The following is a 19,877-nucleotide window of genomic DNA, read 5'->3' as shown; positions in this document are numbered from 1 at the left end:
GGCGAGGGGGCGGGCGCGGGGCGAGGGGGCGGGCGCGGGGCGAGGGGGCGGGCGCGGGCGGCGCTCCCACTGGGGTGGCACTGGGGTGAGAGCGCAGGCTAGGCCCGCTCACTCGGCCAACCTGGGAGAGATCATCGGAGAAGCTCTTTTGGGAAACGAGCATAAGGACTGTGACGGTGAAGGGAGAATATCATGGGAAATGTTTGCAAAAGAGCCGGATAAAGAGAGTAAGGGCCCGAGAGACTAAAGGGGTGGGGAGGGAGTTCATGTGCAGGTAGGATTGGGCGAGAAAGGTACAGTAGGTACAGTTTTGCCTCCAACCTTGCCAGTTCCAGCCTCCCTCCCTGCAGGTGAAGTCTACACTTCGGGTGGTACGACTCATTCTTTTTTATGACTGGTCATTCCTTTTTTTTTTTTTTGAGACCGAGTCTCTCTCTGTCGCCCAGGTTGGAGTGCAGTGGCGCCATCTCGGTTCACTGCAACCTCCGCCTCCCAAGTTTAAACCATTCTCCTGCCTCAGCCTCTTGAGTAGCTGGGATTACAGATGCGTACCACTATGCCCGGCTAATTTTTGTATTTTTAGTAGAGATGGGGTTTCGCCATGTTGGTCACGCTGGTCTCGAACTTCTGACCTCAGGTGATCTGCCCGCCTCAGCCTCCCAAAGTGCTGGGATTACAGACGTGAGCCACTGCCCGGCCTATCATTCCTTTTTATTCAACAGTTATTGAGCATCTGCCACGTGCCTGACACTCTTCCAGGCCCTGGAAATTGAGCTCTGAATGAGGCAAAGTCCTTGTTCTTTTAAGGGGTGATTTGGGGGAGGTGGTCGTGGCTGAAATGGAGGGCCTGGCAGACATTAAAAGTGATAGGGACAGTATGGCATATTGCATTAAATTGATGTGACCACTGGGTGCTCTTTTAGATTGGTGACTGGGGAAGGCCTCTCTGAGGAGGTGACGTTAAAACAGATCTGGATGACAAGGAGCAGTCAATTATGCCAAAATTAGGGACAGGGGGAGGAGGCTAGACCAAGAAGCAGGAGTAGGGTCCTGGAAGGCTCTGCAAGGATGTGGTGTTTTGTTTGCTTTCTCTTGAAAGACAAACTGGCTTCCAAAGAGGACTGTTTATGTTCTAGGTTCTCTTACATATGCTTTCCCTAATCCTTCATTAACAGAGCAAACCCAACTTCCAGCTACTTTTAATATGTCTGTGAGTTTTTCTTATGAGTCCATATGCCCTGGATATGGCAAATTCTCCTGCCCTCCACCTGCACTTTCTTCTCTTCTTGCGCCTGTCTTCATCCCTGGATGGGGCTGGCCCACCCCAGCCGCTTACACTTCTCTGGGTTATCTCAGCTCTCCCAAGGTTACCCCTATGGGATCACTCCCAAATCTGTTCCAGCCCTGCTTTTCCTGAGCTCCAGATCAGAGATCCAGAGCCCTGCTACAAGGTTGTTTTGTTTTCTTTCTTTTCTTTTCTTTTCTTTTTCTTTTCTTTTCTTTTTTTTTTTTTTTTGAGATGGAGTCTTGCTCTGTTGCCCAGGCTGGAGTGCAATGGCACGATCACTGCTCACTGCAACCTCTGCCCCTTGGGTTCAAGCAATTCTCCTGCCTCAGCCTCCCAAGTAGCTGGGATTACAAAGCATGCGCTATCACGCCCGGCTAATTTTTGTATTTTTAGTAGAGACAGGGGCCAGGCTGGTCTTGAACTCCTGACCTCAGGTGATCCGCCTGCCTCGGCCTCCCACTGGGATTACAGGCGTGAGCCACTGCTCTGGCCTCCTGCTACAAGTTTTAAAACTCAGCTGTCTTGAAAGTAGATCAGTGGTCGAGGTGTGCCATGGGTGGGGGAGGATTGACTCTGCGGTGGGCTAAGAGGAAAATTCCTGAGTGATGGAAATACTCTCTATCCTGATTGTGGCAGTAGCTACACAGGTGCAGGGCTGGCTGCATTATTTGCATGGCTTAGTGCAAAATGAAAACAGGAAGAAGCAGGGAAAAGTGCCACTAAAGGTACTAAATTAGAAAGCTTTCCTTTTCTCTGTGGTCTCTATCAACCTGTTATGCTGTTTTTGTTTACTGTTTAATGTGTTTCCTTGGGTACGGGAACACTCCCCTTCCTAGCTATCGTCCCATAGCAGATGGGTGGCCCTCGAGGGATTGCACCCTCTGTGCCAGGATGTGCTTGGTGTCATGACTGTGGTGGACAGGATGCTCGCGTGTCTCACTCTGAATGTACGGGGGTATTGCCATGCCCTGCCCTAGATGGGGTTGGGGGTTGGGTAGGGTGAAGGTGGGGATTGGGGGTAGTGGGGGGTGACAAGAGGTGAGACTCAGCAGCAGCTAAGGCACCAACCCCCTTCCCCCAGCAGCCTCCATTTTCCCGTCAGATTTCATTGACAAAACAAAAATTCAAAGGTAAAATTACTAAGAAATTTTCACACTGTGAAACTCAGAGCACTAAACCCCGAGCCTATGGCCCTTCTAAGAGTAGGACTCGGCCAGGCGCGGTGACTCATGTCTGTGATCCCAGCACTTTGAGAGGCCAAGGCGGGTGGATTACCTGCGGTCAGGAGTTCAAGACCAGCCTGACCAACACGGTGAAACCCCATCTCTACTAAAAAATACAAAAATTAGCCAGGCATGGTGGTGGGCACCTGTAATCCCAGCTACTAGGATGCTGAGGCAGAAGAATTGCTTGAACCCGGGAGGCAGAGGTTGCAGTGAGCCGAGATTGTACCACTGCACTCCAGCCTAGGTGACAGAGCAAGACTCCTTCTCAAAAAAAAAAAAAAAAAAAAAAAAAAAAGGAGTAGGACTCTGTGTGACCACTGGGGGGTCAAACAGCCCATGAACCTGGCCCTGCACAGGTATATACATTTGTCAGAATTAATTAAATTATATACTTCAAATGAGTGCAGTTTACAATATATGAATTATAGCTTGATAAAGTTGATTTTGAAACTTCAACTCAGGAACCTTACCCTACCGCATCTAAAATCAAACATGGCTGGGCGCGGTGGCTCACACCTGCAATACTAGCACTTTGGGAGGCTGAGGCAGGTGGATCGCTTGAACTCAGGAGTTCAAGACCAGCCTGGGCAACATGGTGAAACCCCATCTATGCAAAAAAAAAAAAAAAAAAATACAAAATTTACCGGGCATGGTGGCACGCATTTGTGGTTCTGGCTACTTGGGAGGCTGAGGCGGGAAGATCGCTTGAGCCCAGGGAGTCAAGATTGCAGTGAACAGTGATTGCACCACTGCATTCCAGCCTGGGCGACAGAGCAAGACCCTGCCTCTAAATCAATAAAATCAAACACTTCTCTTAGCCAATGTGTATCTCCTTCTGTTTTGGATGATGGCCTCAGCAGCCATCTAGGTACCCACGCTAGGAACTTGTCACCTTTGATCCCTCTCTCTCTCCTTGTATCTAGAACACTCTCATCTGCACCTACTTGAGGCTGCCTCCTGACTTGTTGTTTTTTTTTTTCTTTTTTTGAGATGGAGTTTTGCTCTTTCACCCAGACTGGAGTGAAGTGGCACAATCTCAGCTCACTGCAGCTGCTGCCCCCCGGGTTCAAGCAATTCTCCTGCCTCAGACTCCAGAGTAGCTGGGATTACAGGCGTGTGCTACCACACCTGGTTAATTTTTGTATTTTTAGTACAGACAGGGTTTCACCATTGTTGGCCAGGCTGGTCTTGAACTCCTGACCTCAGGTGATCCGCCTGCCTTGGCCTCCCAAAGTGCTAGGATTACAGGCATGAGCCACTGCGCCCAGCTGACTTTCTTTTCTTTTCTTTTCTTTTCTTTTTTTTCAATTTTTTTTTTTTCTTTAATAGAGATAGGGTCTCCCTATGTTTCCCAGGCTGGTCTTGAACTCCTGGGCTCAAGGGATCCTTTTGCCTCAGCCTCTGAAAGTGCTCAGATTATAGCCATGAGCCACCACACCTGACCCTCACCTTTTTAAGTCTGTGGATGGTGCCACCTGCTCCCAATCACCCAGCTGCAAGCCTCTCAGTGTGCCCTCCTGCATTGCTTGCCAAGCCCTGTCTCTCTGGGGGACCGCCCTTCCCCACCCTGCTCTTCCTCAGATCACCACCCTGCTCAGGCCTGTGCTGTCTCTGGCCTGGGCTGCTACAGAAGTCTCCTGACCAGCCCTGCTGCCTCCTGAGGCTTCTGCACTCCATCTGGTATTCTTTCTAAAGCACAGATTTAATCATGTCTCATCCATTTTCAAAAACTGTTGATGACTATTTCCTACAAAGAACTCCTTGGTATGGTATGAATATGTGTCATCTTTCCGAATCTCGCCTCCATCTGCTTGTCTAGTTTTACTTACCCTTGCTGGCCCCTCATGCCTTATTTTGGCCACTCTCCTCTGTCTCTGGGATTTGTGGTGCTCCACACCTCCCAGCCTCTACTTATGTGTTCTCCTTTAGCTGGAGTGTTTTCTCCTCCTTGCTTATCATCAGAAGCCTGTTCAACCTTCAAGGCCCAGCACAAACTGTGAGTTCATTAATCACTAGCAACACTTTGTGCCCATTAAACTCAGCCTCGGCCTCTGGCATTGCATGAATCTGTACTTTAGTTAGAGAGAGGTTTCCTTGTCTCCTCCACAGTGAGCAGCCTCTTTTAGGCTCCTCACTTTATGCCACAGCAGTAATGATAGAAGTTAATGGAACAATTTTCATGGTTCATTGGGAAGTATTATTGCCTTTATTCTGCCAAGCCCAGAGACTTCATTCTCATTGACCTCTGAGCCTAAGTGAAGGCTGCTAGCCTCCCCTCCTTTAAGTCCCCCACTTGTTTCTGGGGCATGCTTTCTGCTCCTTGCTCATCCCAGCCCGCATCGTCATTACATGCCTATCTGCCTCCTGCTGCACTCCAAGTGGGGGATGATCTCAAAGTCCACTCCTCAGCCCTGTGCGCTTCTCCCTCAGTGTCCCCTCCCCTGCTGGCTCAGGGAGTCATGTCAGTGCCTACCACTCTCATGATGACACAGTCTCTGTGGTGAAAAATGGCTGCCCTCTGAGCTCTGGCCCTTAGCCCCCATCATTCCCTGCACTTTGGGCATCTCCCCTTGTCCTGCCTCATCTGGTCCCCACTGGCTGCACCGTTCTCCCAAGCTCTTGCCCTTCGTCTCCTCTAGCTCATCTTCATCCATCTAGAATGATAAGTTCATTGGTCAGGCCTGAGTGTCCTTTGGAAATGCTCTTGTATCAATCCCTGCCTTGATATCCATATCATTTTATCCTTTTCTTGCTGCAAATTGTAGCCAACACTGAAGGGACGTTTGCACACATATTGCATTTTCACTTCACTATAACCAGTGTGGTCGTTTCTATTATGTTCTCCACTTTGTACACGAGGTCAGAAAGTAAGTAACTTTCCCAGGTTCACAGTCAGAGTCAAAGCCCGCTCTGTCTGTCTGTCGAGCCTGTGCTGTTAACCGCTATAATTATTCAGAAAGGTGCCCTGGACTTGAGGCCAGAAGATGTGAGTTCACGCCTTGGCCTCACTACTTATTAGTTGGGCAATTCTCTGAGCTTCACTTTTTCCCCTTGGGTTACTGTGAAGGCAATATGATAGAATAACTGTGAAAGTACTATGTGAATTAATTAATTATTATTATTTATTTATTTTGAGACAGAATCTTACTCTATTGCCCAGGCTGGAGTATAGTGATACAATCATAGCTCACTGCAGCCTCGAATTCCTGGGCTCAAGTGATCCTCCCACCTGAGCCTCCCTAGTAGCTGGGACCACAGGCTAGCACCACCACACCAGGCTAATTTTTTTTATTTTTAATTTTTTTGTAGAGACAGGGTCTCCCTATGTTGCTCAGTCTGGTCTCGAACTCTTGAGCTCAAGTGATCCTCCCTTGGCCTCCCACAAGTGCTGGAATTACAGGCATGAGCCACTGCACCTGGCCTGCTGTGTGAATTTAAAGTGTTTCCAAGAAGCCTTACTTTAAAAGATATAAAGTACAAGAAAGCATGTTTTGCCAGTGGACAGGCAGGATATAAAATGGTCTAGTGATGATTGAAACAATTTCAGTGGCAGGACTGTTTTCTATCAACCAAATGGATCTTCAGCCTTTGCACGGAAGAAAGCCTTAGCATTGATCTGCAGGGAGATAAGGAGAGCTGCTGAGGTGGGTGGCTGGATGGTAGACTTTGTTATAGCACATAGTTCAGATTCTTGCTAGTATCAGAACATCATTGATTACATATGCATTTGTCTTAAATGCCAGTTTACTTAAGAATCACTTAATGTTTAGGACCTTAGATGTTTATTCCACAAGAACTGAACAAATCTTCCTGTGTAAAGTGGAAGATGTTAAATTTAGATAACTATTCATTCTCACATCAGAATAGCACTAGTTAATTTTATCTATTTATGAATACACATCCTTATGTCTTCTTTATAAATAGTAATGCTAACTGTGCTGTTCTTTTTAAAAATTACCAGAATTGAAGCATGCATTCTTAGAATATCCAAACTTAGAATATTCTATCACTATCTTTCTTAGAAGTTACACTTAAAAATTCCTATTTCCTCTTTTCTACTCTGGTGACATCTTCTTTCTGTCCTTCCTTTATTTTTTCTTTCTCTTTTTTTGTTTCATTAAGTGCAATAGTATATCACTGGATTCATTTCATGATAGCCCCACCCTTGATAGTCCTTATATTAAAGAAGAAGTTACAGAAAAAATAAACCGTTCTTTGTAGGTCATTTCCTCTGTTCACCCACTAGGGTCCTAGCAGTGAGAATGCAAGACCTTGGGATACAAGGCCAGCTGGGGCAGACTTAGGAGAGGAGTCATTCATATCCAGGACAGAGGTCAGCAAACTCTGTGAAGGGCCAGAGAGTAAATATTTTAGACTTTGTGGGCCCCGTGTCCTCTTTTTTTTTTGAGATGGAGTCTCACTCTGTCACCCAGGCTGGAATGCAATGGCATGATCTCGGCTCACTGCAACCTCCGCCTCCTGGGTTCAAGCGATTCTCCTGCCTCAGCCTCCTGAGTAGCTGGGACTACAGATGCCCCCCACCATGCCTGGCTAATTTTTGTATTTTTAGTAGAGATGGGGTTTCACCATGTTGGCCAGGTTGGGCTCAAACTCCTGACCTCGTGATCTACCTGCCTCGGCCTCCCAAAGTGCTGGGATTTCAGGTGTGAGCCACCTCGCCCGGCCCTGTGTCCTCTTTTACAACTACTAAACTGTGCTGGTGTAGCATAAAAGCAGTTACAGGCTATGCAGCGCATAACAGCATGTTGGTTAATGGTGGACCACATATACAACAGTGATCCCATAAGATTATAATGGGACTGAAAAATTCCCATCACCCAGTGATGTCTTCATGATCCTGACCCTGTGTAGGCCTAGGTTAATGTATTTGTTTCTGACTTAGTTTTTAACAAAAAAGTTTAAAAACTAAAAAAAATTAAACATAGAAAAAGCTTAGAGAATAAGGATATAAGGAAAGAAAATATTTTTGTACATCTGCACAATGTGTGCGTGTTTTAAGCTAAGTGTTATTACAGAAGAGTCAAAAAGTTTAAAAATATTAAAAAGTTTATAAAGTAAGTTACAGTGAGCAAAGGTTAATTTGTTATTGAATAAAAAAATTTAAATACATTTAGTGTAGCTTAAGTGTAGAGTGTTCATAAAGTCTGCAGGAGTATATAACAATGTCCTACACCTTCACATTCACACACCACTCAATTTCAGCCCTGCAGTCTCCATTGATGATAAGTGCCCTATACAGGTCTACTATTTTTACTGTATTTTACTTTATTTTTACTGTACCTTTTCTATGTTTAGATACACAAATACTCATTCTTGTGTTACAATTGCTTGCAGTATTCAGTACAGTAACATGCTGTGCAGGTTTGTAGCCTAGGAGCCATAGGTTATACCATATAGCCCAGGTGTGCAGTAGGCTATACCATCTAGGTTTGTGTAACTACACTCTATGGTGTTTGCACGAGGACAAAATTGCCTTATGATGCATTTCTCAGAAAGTATCCCCATCACTAAGCAACGCATGACTGTACAAACCACACGTAAACAAATGAGCACATCTGTGTTCATTTTCATGTGTCAGAACATATTTTTCTTCTTTGGATTTTCCCCAACCATTTAAAAACGTAAAAAAAAATTCTTAGCTCATGGGCTGTATAAAAACTGGTAGTAAGCTGGAGTTGGCCCACGGGCTGTTAATTTGCCAATCCCTGATCTAGAGAGTTAAAATGCTATTTATTATTCTTGCTGGGGGATTGAGAGGGAGGGGAATGAGGTAGGAAAAATAATAGCAATTATTGGGCACTCATATTTAGTAAGCATTCTCCTAAGCACTATATATAAAAATCATGTATACTCATTTAATACAACCATAGAAGGTAAGTAGTAATATTAGCCCCACTTTACAGATGGGGAGTCTGAAGCATAGAGAGACTAAATCATCTGTCGCATATCACACAGCTAATAGAGGCAGAGCATGATACAATAGCTCACCAAGTTGGGTCTAGCACCCTCTATCTGAGCCATTATGCTGTACTGCCTTTCTGGGTAAAATGTTATCTTCTGGTAAAGACATACTTTCACAGGCATCCACATGGAAGATCTTTGTCCTGCCAGCTCCATTAAGCATTTGAACAAAAAGTTACAGAATGTTTGAAGTAATGTTTCCATTTGGAGGCAAGGGGACAGATGGCACTGTCTTATTTAGTAAAGAAGTCACTTTCCCTGAAGGTGTTTGAGCAGAGGTGGGATGACTTTTGTAGTCTTGCGGTTCCCTAGAAAGACTTTGGTTATTTTCTTTTCTATAAAATAAAAGTAAAAATTTAAAATTCTTGATTTTTGAAATTTAAATCTGGCTAATTACTACAGGAGCAAACAGCCTGAACACCTCCCCATAGCACACTCGGGCACCATCTCATTACATTTACAGGATTTGGGAGTCTGAATAACCAGAACTGCTGGGAGGAAATGATACGTCAGACTGTTTTGACCTATTGCTATGGGAACTGAGTGAATCTCCCTTAACCCCATCCCCACCACCACACACACACACACACACACACACACACACACACACACACACACATGCTACACATGATTCTTCCCATCTATACCCTTCTTAGGTGAAAAGTATTTGAAGGTGGTGTTAGGGAAGACTTATTTATTAAGTAATTAAAATCATATATTATTAAATGAGTATAATAATTTATAGTCATATGAGAGAATATTAATATGGAAAGATATCCAAGACAAATGGTAAAGACATAGAACAGCATGTCTTGTGTTCCCAATTGTGTAAAAAAAAATGTTGGTAGGGAGGAGATGGATGAGTACTGTGGAAGTTTTCTGAAAGGATAAAAAAATATTGATACTCATTACTTCTGGGGAACAAGATAGGGATCTGGATGGGAGGAAATTACATTTTTCATTGTGTACTCTTGTATCCTCTGAATTTTTAACCTGTATATTCTTAATTAAAATACCAATAAATGCAGAAATGTGTTATTCAACTGGATACCTGCTTCTTCATGACATATACCCTACCCAAGCCAGAAAATCTTTCTTGAATCTCCTTTGACTACATTTGCAGTTGCAAGCATTTTTCAATTAAAAATAACCTCTCCTGGGACTTGCCTTACACTACTAATGATGACAGAGAGGGAGTAAATGAATCATTGTTGCTATTTGTTAGATTTTTGATGAGTGTTAGTGGGTAAAGTGGGTTGAATGGTGGCTCCAAAAAAGATTTGTCCACATGTGAATCCCAGGAAACTGTGACTATTACCTTATACGGCCAAAGATGTGATTGGGTTCAGGATCTTTAGAGGAGGATCATCCGAGGGGGCCCCAAATGCAATCACATGTATCCTTATGAGAGAGAAGCAGAGGGAGTTGAGGGAGAAGGGGAGGAAGAATTGTGACCACAGAGGCAGAGACTGGAGTGATGCACCACAAGCCCAGGAATTCCCAGAGCCCCCAGAAGCTGGAAGAGGCAGGGAACAGATTCTCCCATCTGAACCTTTTGAGGGAGCACCTTCCTAGTGACACCTGACTTCAGGCACCTGGCTTCCACACTGTGAGAGAGAATAAGTTGGCCAGCCGCAGTGGCTCATGCCTGTAATCCCAACACTTTGGGAGGCCAAGGTGGGTGAATCACGAGGTCAAGAGTTCAAGACCAGCCTGGCCAACATGGTGAAACCCTGTCTCTACTAAAAATAGAAAAAATTAGTTGGGTGTAGTGGCAGGCACCTGTAATCCCAGCTACTCGCGAGGCTGAGGCAGGAGAATTGCTTGAAGCCGGGAGGCGGAGGTTGCGGTGAGCCGAGATTGTGCCACTGCATTCCAGCCTGGGCGACAGAGTGAGACTCTGTCTCAAAAAAAAAAAAAAGAGAGAGAATAAGTTTCTATTGTTTTGTTTTTTTGTTGTTGTTGCTGTTGTTTTTTGAGATGTAACTCATGTGTTTTCCAAACATCACCTATTGGGACTTACCTATACCAACATTTCCAGAAATAATTTGCATGTTGTTACAATGCTTCACCAATATCAATAGAGCTTTGATCTCTTTGTTCTACTCTATTTTATAGATTACACATTTCCTTATATTGTTAAACCACCACCATATAAACAATCTGTGTTGAGTGGTGAGATAAGGGAGGTAAATTATTCTCTTCATTCTTTTTGTTTTTTTTTTTTTTGGTTCAGAGAAAATGGGAAAGGAGGAGACTCAGAGGCAGATAAAGTTTATATTTAATGTATAGATAATAAAATCATACTGTAGCCATTTTTACTCTCAAATGTCTTTTTGAGGTCTCTAATGTTGAAAAACATCATATAAAATATGTGCTATGGCCGGGTGTTGTGGTGCATGCTTGTAATCCCAGCTACTCGGGAGGCTGAGGCAGGAGAATTGCTTGAATCTGGGAGGCAGAGGTTGCAGTGAGCCGAGGTCACACCATTGTACTCCAGCCTAGGGGACAACAGTGAAACTCTGTCTCAAAAAAAAAAAAAAAAAGTGCTATGGTTTGAATGTGTCTCCCAAAGTTTGTGTGTTGGAAGCATAATTCCCAATGCAATCATGTTGAGAAGTGGGACCTTTAAGAAGTCATTAGATCATGAAGACTCTGCAATCATGAAGGGATTGATGGAGTTATTGTGGGAATAGGTTGATTATCTCAGGAGTGGGTTCTTGAAAAAGGATGAGTTTAGCCCTCTTTTCCTAGTTCTCTCTAGTGTGCTATCTTGCCTTTCTGCCTTCTGCCATGGGATGATGCAGCATAAAGGCCTTCGCCAGATACCAGCGCCATGCTCTTGGACTTCTCAACCTCCAGAACTGTAAACCATATACATTTATATTGTTTATATAAAATTATCCAATTTCTGGTAGTCTTATAACAGAAAACAGACTAAGACAATATAGTTGTCCCTCAGTATCTGGAGGGATTGGTTCCAGGACCTCCTAAGGATACCAAAATCCTTGGATGCTCAAGTCCTTGATATAAAATGGGGTAGTATTTGCATATAACTATGTGCATCTTCCTGTATATTTTAAATAATCTCTAGATTACTTATAATACCTAATATTAGGTAAATGCTATGTAAATAGTTGTTTTACTGTATTGTTTAGGGAATAATGACAAGAAAAAAAAGACTACATGTTCAGTACACAAGCAACTTTTCTTTTTTTTTTTTTTTGAGACGGAGTCTCACTCTGTCGCCCAGGCTGGAGTGCAGTGGTATGATCTTGGCTCACTGCAACCTCCGTCTCCAGGCGATTCTCATGCCTCAGACTCTACAGTAGCTGGGATTACAGGCATGAGCCACCAGGCCTGGCTAATTTTTGTATTTTTAGTAGAGACAGAGTTTCACCATATTGGCCAGGCTGGTCTTGAACTCCTGACCTCAGTTGATCTGCCCATCTTGGCCTCCCAAAGTGTTGGGATTACAGGCATGAGCCACCACGCCTGGCCTCACAAGCAATTTTTAAAAATATTTTTGATCCACCATGGTTGAATCCATGGTTGTGGAACCCACGGACGTGGAAGGCCAACTGTGTGTTAGCATTAACCACAAGTCAGAATAGTACCAGCTGCTAAAGAATCTACTGGGTGTTTCACAAATGTTTTTAGCAAATTCTGTATTTTGTAAAACATTCTTTTACTACAGAAAACATTCTATCACACTTACACTATTATCAAAAAGTCTGACCTGGACCTATTATTGTAGGTAAAGCAGATGTTAATTGGTGTGCCTAGGATTTCTGAAATCATGTCAAGACTTTCTTTGCCCCTGCAAACCACCCTAAACACATACTTATCACCTATGTTCCCAGAGTCCCAGTGTGGCAAGTTTTATACTTCACATAGGTTTATACTTCATGTAGCCTGGGTATCAAAGTGACACAAATTTTATATAATTAAGGAATACAACTTGTTTTGATATATGTATACATTGTGAAATGACCACCACAATGCATTAACTGTAAAATTATCAAAATGGAGTCACTAATGTCAAATCTAACAAACAAAACGGAGCTGAGGCCATGGAGGAGGGGCCCTCATTCGAGTATGCCTATGATGGGAACTATGCAAAAAATTCCTCAAAACCACAGTATTCCAGATAAGTCACTTACACAAGGATACTCAACTAACAATGAATGTCTCCACCCATGAGCTATTGCCAACTCTGCAACAAGCCCCTGTAACCAATGGTCTTTGTTCCAAAACAGTTTACGTGGACTTCTTTTTGTTTTTAAAAGCTTCCCCTTTGCCACAACTCCTTTGGATGAGCCTGTGGTCTGCCATAGCATGCATATCCCAGATTGCAATCCCCTGCTATTCCCAAATAAACTCTGCTTTGGAGAGTTGGTCTCTGTTGTTCATTTTAGGTAGATATATCTTGTTGTTTAAGTTAACAAGTCACAGGATCAAGAAACACTTCATCTACACCTTCATCTAGATGAGATCCTAGAATTTAGGTCTCACATGACTGGATAAGATTTTTGGTCTTCCTTGAGGAGGGGCTGTGTGTTGTGTGTAATATAGGAGCAGATATTCATGACCAATTCACTTTCCCTACTTATGAGAGTATTATACCATCCATGTTTGCCACTCTGTAGGTAGAGTATGCTTCTCCAGTCTCATGTTAGGCTTGTCCATGTGATTTGCTTTGGTCAATGGTATATGAACAATTTGATTTACACCATATTCAAGCAGGAGTCTGAATGTGCTTGCATGGTATGGTTTGTCTCTTGCTCCTGCTCTTCACTATAAAAAGTGTATGTCCCAAGTAGGAACTATTCCATCAGTCTAGTGCCAGAGAAAGAAGACTGTGGAACAGAGCCAAGCCAAGCAAGCCAAGGTGAGTCGAGCAGAGCTGCGGCTAACTCCTAGACCCATGAACAAGAAACGTTTGTCAAAAGTCACTAAGATCTGGAGTTTATTGCTTGTATTAGTCTATTCTCAGGGAACACTCTGGGGGTAAAATAATATTTTATATATTAACTTTATTATATCCTTCTTTGTTTTTGAGACGGAGTTTCGTTCTTGTTGCCCAGGCTGGAGTGCAGTGGCGCGATCTTGGCTCACTGCAACCACCACCTCCTGGGTTGAAGCGATTCTCCTGCCTCAGCCTCCCAGTAGCTGGGATAACAGGCATGCACCATCACACCCGGCTAATTTTGTATTTTTAGTAGAGACGGGGTTTTCACCATGTTGGTCAGGCTGGTCTCGAACTCCTGACATCAGGTGATCTGCCTGCCTCGGCCTCCCAGAGTGCTGGGATTACAGGTGTGAGCCACTGCGCCCGGCCTATATCCTTCCTTTCTATATGACTTTGAGTTTCTCTTGTGTTGAAGAATTTAAACACCAAATTTCTAATTCCAGCTCATTTTATTTTTATTAAAGTGCTTCAGTAGATGAACAGTGTTATCAACAATCAACACAAACTTTACTGAAATATTCACAAATAAAAATCCTCTGTAAGTCACTAAAATGTTTTTCTATGTAGTAAAAGTAATCACCATTGGAGACTGGTGAATTTGAATTTATTCCTAACCACATACATGGTTTATATATTAACTTTATTATATCCTTCTTTGTTTTTGAGACGGAGTTTCGTTCTTGTTGCCCAGGATGGAGTGCAGTGGCATGATCTCGGCTCACTGCAACCCATACATGGGTTCTCAAATTGGAAGATTCAACCTGGTTACCTTAATATATGGGGCTGGCTGTCAATACCTGAAAGCTAGTCCCAGCAAGTCTGTGGAAAAAAATGATGTGATTGGAAACTAATCATTTATCCTTAGTGCTTCAGTTTCTCCATCTGCACTGAGAAGTAACCTTCCCTTAGAAAAGGGTTGTAAATAAATACAAAATGTTAAAGCTTAGCATACTTCTGTGCCTCAAAAAGCATTCACGTACATGCTTTTAAAAGGGCAATTTCTTTGTTCTTGACATAAATTGAATACTATCTGGCTTTATAATAAATTGATGGATGATTACTCTTTCCTTGAAAATTATCTTTTTACTCAAATCATATTAAAATCATACTAGCCTGACTGTAGATTAATTTACAGGAGTTGTGCTCAGTAAATTATTTTGATTGCAGTAAGGACTACTGTCCTACTTAGGTAAAATTTACAAATTATTTTAAAAAGTTTCATCCATTACTTAACATTCTCCAAGACCTATCCATAGAGACAGAAATCCTGGTACTTTAAAGCACAAAGAGGCAAAATCCAAAATTTACTTGTTAGATTTTGGTATAGCTCCTTTGGATACTGTCAAGTATTTTATTCATGTCCTTGAAATGATACTGTGGTTGACGAGGGGCAGAGTAAATAAGCAAATTTTGACTATATCACCCAGCATAAAGTGACCTGGTGCCATCATAAAAAATTCAGTAGTGCCTAAGTTGGGGGAGAGGGGCAACATGTATAGTAAAAAAGCTTGAAGAGGCTGGGCATGGTGGCTCACACCTGTAATCCCAGCACCCTGGGAGGTGGAGGCGGGCGGATCACCTGAGGTCAGGAGTTTGAGGTCAGCCTGGCTAACATGGTGAAACCCTGTTTCTACTAAAAATACAAAAAATTAGCCAGGCATGGTGGTGCGTGCCTGTAATCCCAGCTCCTTGGGAGGCTGAGGCAGGAGAATCGCTTGAACCCGGGAGGCGGAGGTTGCAGTGAGCCGAGATCGTGCCATTGCACTCCAGCTTGGGCAACAAGAGCGAAACTCTGTCTCAAAAAAAAAAAAAAAAAAAAAAAAAAAAAAAAAAGCATATGATCCTAACTAAATCAGAAACTTTTTTAAAAACCTTGTTTATCTTGAGAAGTATGTGATTCTGCTGTAAAAGAGAAATATAAAGAGGCTGGTATATCAACTCTCACATTTTCAATGAAATGTGCAATACTTTTAAGTAGAGACAGTATTGCTAAATCTCCACATGACACTTTGAAACTGCTAGCAATAAACGGGAAAAAAATCATTAATCAACACTGCAGAAAAAGAAAAATGGTAAGCTGTGATGCTTTTACTTTTCAATTAGAAAAATATATTGATCACGACCACAAGTGGACATACCATCTGAATAAATAAAGCCTCCTGTAGTTAACTTGTCATTTAAAAAATGAATTAGATGAAAAGGATAATTTTCTGCAGTATGCTCAGCCATTTGAAGACTGGAGTCATTTAAGAAAAACATGAAACATCCTTAGAGAGGACCTAATTATTTCATATTGGTTGTGGCTCTTTAAAAATGGCAGAGCATTCCATGCCCTATACAGAGTACACAAGGAAATAATTTTCACATTGAATATAGATCTCTTACAGAATGAGGAAAAAAACACTTTACACAACACACTTTTCGATAACATGCAGTATTGAGGGAATAGTAAATCATCATCCTTCACAAAGAAGGTGCAGGTGCTCTAAAATAATCTTAGAGCTAATGATTTCAGAAAGAGGCTTCCAAATTTGAAATTTAAAATGCAAACTTAATTTCAAAGTTGGTTTTTCCAAATCTCTGATAAGTCCTAGGAATCCAGTGTGAGCAAGAAGAAAACTTTCTCCCTATTTTATGACTTGTACCTCCCACTATCTGTGATGAATGCCATGGGTCAAATGCCATAACAAATTTCCTCTTTTAGAGCCAGCAAAGTCTAGCCTGGTTGTAGCCAAGACTAAAGCAGGAAAAGGTCCTACCAAAGAGCTTGTCTAGAATTGATCCACCAAAAGATTTCCAAGGCCAACTGGGCACCCAACTGACCCCAGGGCAAGTTGATCATTTTATTGTGATTCAGGATCCCACCCTTGCACCATCTTTAGGCCCAAGAGCCCCCAGAAGAGCCCTGAACTGGTAACAGCGCCTGTATGGACAGGGTAGGCAGAGCACAGTTTATTGGAGCTGACCTCTATCTATTGATGCTTGTTGACAAGAACTTAGTCAGTGATTCTGGAGCAGCTCCTCCCAACAGATGGGCTGTGAAAACACCTCTCTCTCGAGCCAGAGCTCATATGAATAGTGGAAATCTTCAGGCAGATCCAACCTCTGCCCCAGTACGCTCTGCAAGCAGTTATCCACAGGTGAAAACTCAGAGTCCTGGGGTCTGTCATAGCGACGGCTGTTAAAAGCCTCAATGTTGGCCCTCAAGGTACATTCTTCTGCTTGGAAGTCCCATGGTCTGGCATCGATGTCTGTGTTGGAAAGAGAGGAAGAAGAAGACATACAATGCAAGACACTGCTCCTCTTATCACAGAGCATGGTCTATGGGATTCCAAAAATGGAACTGCTCAGAAATTCTTTTTTTTTTTTTTTTTGTAAAGAGCAATGTATGAAGTTAGTATACAGCATGCTGACACTTAGGTTTAAAAAATACACATATGCCCACATGCATAAGCTTGTATATGCAGAAATTATCTTTGGAAGGGTAGTCTAGAAACTGGTAATAGTGGTTACCTATGAGAAAGGAAATGAGGGCCCAGAGGGAGGTGGACTTCTTCTATTGTATTTCCTTTTTATTATTTCACTTTCTTATTAGCTTTATGTATTACTAGTTATATGTATTATGTTTCCCAAAAGGGTAATTAAATTCCTTTTATGCAGCTTTCCTTAGGGGATGAGTGTCCCATCTGAATGGAATAGCCAGCTTTCAAGGAATAGGAAGGGGCAAGAGGGGTATAACATGGAGAATCAGAATGGACCAATTACCGAAGATTTTCCTGATTCCCTGGAATCTCCTCCAGCACATGATAAATCTATATGTCAGCTTATTTTAAGATGATGAGGTGACGGCTTCAATGAAGGTAAAAACAGAAAACAGATAATCTGTTTCGCTTCTATTCACTTAGACACTTATTTCAGGGCTGAAGATACAAATCTCCCAGATCTCTCATGTTCTACATGCAAGGGTTTATCATAAGGAAGTGTAGTGTGAGTTTGGGCTCATAATGGCAGCAACAACAGATGTGCCATTTGCAGGATAAAACATTTTTGTGTTTTAAAAATTTACAAGAATTTAATAGATAATTGTGCTTTATGTCTTATAGCAGAAGTTGCATCCTGGCTTGTTATGTGCCTATCATATGTTTCCTTTAGTTCTCTAAACCCTTTTTTAGTGAAAAGACAGTCCCTCAGCACCACAAATTATGCAGTTGAGTTTCCCACATTTAGGGGAATAGCAGGGGTCAGCATATCTGGAGTAAAATGGATAAGACTTGTCCTGGGAAAACCATCTTCATGATCATGGTATTTTCCCTGCCAGGTAAGTAAGTAGAGTTATCTGAACTCTTTACTGCATCATCCTTTAAAATTCAAGCAGGTTACAAACACAGCAAAGACAAGTCATTACCAAAAATTCTCAAATACAATTATGGAAATAATGGTCAAATACAAAACAATAAAAAAGCTCTCCAAAATAAATTTTTCCAAACTCTGATCAATCTTACAAGTTCTGGTAGTTTAACCAAATATCTTGCCTTCTGATGTGAGGCAATGTACAGTTCCCAAGATTACCTAGGACATACTGCAGCCAAAAAGGTTTAAATTGAATTCATCAAACCTTTAGATTTAACTTCAAGTTTACAGGTAATACCATAGATAGACGAATAAAGTAGATAACACCACAAAGAAGAAAACAGACAAATCCAGAATGTGAGTATTTTGCAGGACAACTGGCCTAGTTCTTCAATTAGTTAGCATTAATGGTGGAGGTGGGGAGACTGCTTAGAGGCCAAGCACGGTGGCTTACACCTGTAATCCCAGCACTTTGGGAGGCCAGGGCAGGAGGATCCCTTGAGCCCAGGAGTTCAAGACCAGCCTGGGCAACACAGGGAGAGACTCCATCTCTACAAAAAAATTTGAAAAATTAGCCGGGTGTAGTGGTGGTATGCATCTGTAGTCCCAGCTACTTGGCAGCTGGGAGGATCACTTGAGCCCAGGAAGTCGAGGCTGCAGTGAGCCATTATCATGTCACTGCTTTCCAGCCTGGGTGACAGAGCGACCCTCTCAAAAAAACAAACAAACAAAAAACAGAAAACAAAAATAATTAACATATATATAACAACTGGATGCAACCTGTGGTCCTGGATTGGATTCTGACTTGGAAAAATAGCTATGAAGAACATTTTGGGACAACTCGAAAATTGTGAATATGAACTTTATTAGATGAAATGAAAATGTACTGACATGAAAAGGTAGAGATAATGTTAAAAGAGAAAATTACAAAATAGCATACATAACTTGCTTTCATTTTGATAAAATATGCATGTATATGCATAGAAAAAGATCTGGAGGAATATACAATAAGATGTTAATGGTGGCAATTTCTGCATAGTACAAATATGGCATAAATATAATATAGTAAAATGTTTGTTTACTTGTATTTTCTATCTTTTTTTCTAACTGCTTTGTAATAATAAAAAGTTGTTTTAATTTAAATCTTTTGGAGAAAGCTGTCATTTAAAAGAATGTTTTGGAAAGGCAATTAATTATCTCTCAATTTACTTGTTTTATAAAACGGATTTTCATAGTTTACATAGGACAAGGGTACATACTAGAATTTGAGGCATAACCTTAAAGTTTGGTGTATCAGCGCCTGACCTATAATCACATATTTTTTCATCTAAAATATGTAACAATTCATGCCAAAAGAGGAGTGATAAATATTTATTTAGTTTTGTCTAAACCCCAGGAAACTCCAGGAAGTCAAGAGCTTTGGGAAGACTCACCATTCCCGTAAGCCCAGTCATCGTTCATGCGGTGACGCACTTTCTGGTAAATGGCTGACATGGTTTTCATGTTGCTTTTCCTCCATTGGCGCCCCAGGTACTTGGTCTGTAACTTTAGTAGCTTTAGGACATAAAGTTGCAGCATGGCCTGTTTGACCTTGAGGGCCCGCTTTAAGATTGGTGCCGATTTAAACACTACCAGCATCTGTTCATTGAAAGAGGGGTGGGGTAAAGATCTAACGTTTCTTGGAATTTCCAGTTTACAGACAAATTAAACCAAACCTAGCTAGCCTCAGAAATTCCTGGGGAGCTTTCAGGAATCTATGGTCCAGGCTCTACTTAGATTTAATCTTCAAGAATATAGAGGGGGGCTGGGCAAGGTGGCTCATGTCTGTAATCCCAGCACTTTGGGAGGCCGAAGCCAGTGGATCACGTAAGGTCAGGAGTTTGAGACCACCCTGGCCAACATGATGAAACCCCATCTCTACTAAAAATACAAAAATTAGCCAGGCGTGGTGGCATGGGCCTGTAATCCCAGCTACTAAGGAGGCTGAGGCACATGAATTGCTTGAACCCAGGAGGCGGAGGTTGCAGTGAGCTGAGATCATGCCACTGCACTACAGCCT

The 19,877-nt window shown here is 42.3% G+C and overlaps 1 protein-coding gene and 1 pseudogene across 6 annotated transcripts in view, besides 1 other annotated feature; both read right to left on the bottom strand.

Moving 5' to 3' along the window:
* Nucleotides 19–68: a silencer, noted in NCBI's record as "silent region_18630". NCBI's record gives its function as "represses an Ori minimal core promoter by ATAC-STARR-seq in GM12878 lymphoblastoid cells {active_cell/tissue: GM12878}" and the evidence as "EXISTENCE:reporter gene assay evidence [ECO:0000049][PMID:35858748]".
* STRIP2 (striatin interacting protein 2) overlaps nucleotides 13,899–19,877 on the bottom strand; it is a 53,968-nt gene continuing 47,989 nt past the window's right edge. For 4 of the 6 annotated variants that reach the window (NM_020704.3, XM_011516432.2, XM_017012471.1 and 1 more), the window contains 2 exons: nucleotides 19,252–19,456; nucleotides 13,899–16,719 (listed from right to left, as the gene is read on the bottom strand). In NM_020704.3, the coding sequence (NP_065755.1) occupies nucleotides 16,469–16,719; nucleotides 19,252–19,456 (456 nt within the window). In that variant the 3' untranslated portion in view covers nucleotides 13,899–16,468. Of the gene's footprint in view, nucleotides 16,720–18,666; nucleotides 19,457–19,877 lie in introns of those variants that run through there. The other 2 variants (XM_006716069.4, NM_001134336.2) reach the window with 2 other exon arrangements.
* Nucleotides 17,642–17,794, bottom strand: RNU1-72P (RNA, U1 small nuclear 72, pseudogene; annotated as a pseudogene).

This window comes from Homo sapiens, chromosome 7 (assembly GCF_000001405.40).
Source record: "Homo sapiens chromosome 7, GRCh38.p14 Primary Assembly".
Lineage (NCBI taxonomy): Eukaryota > Metazoa > Chordata > Mammalia > Primates > Hominidae > Homo > Homo sapiens.
This window is presented reverse-complemented; position numbering and strand designations above follow the sequence as displayed.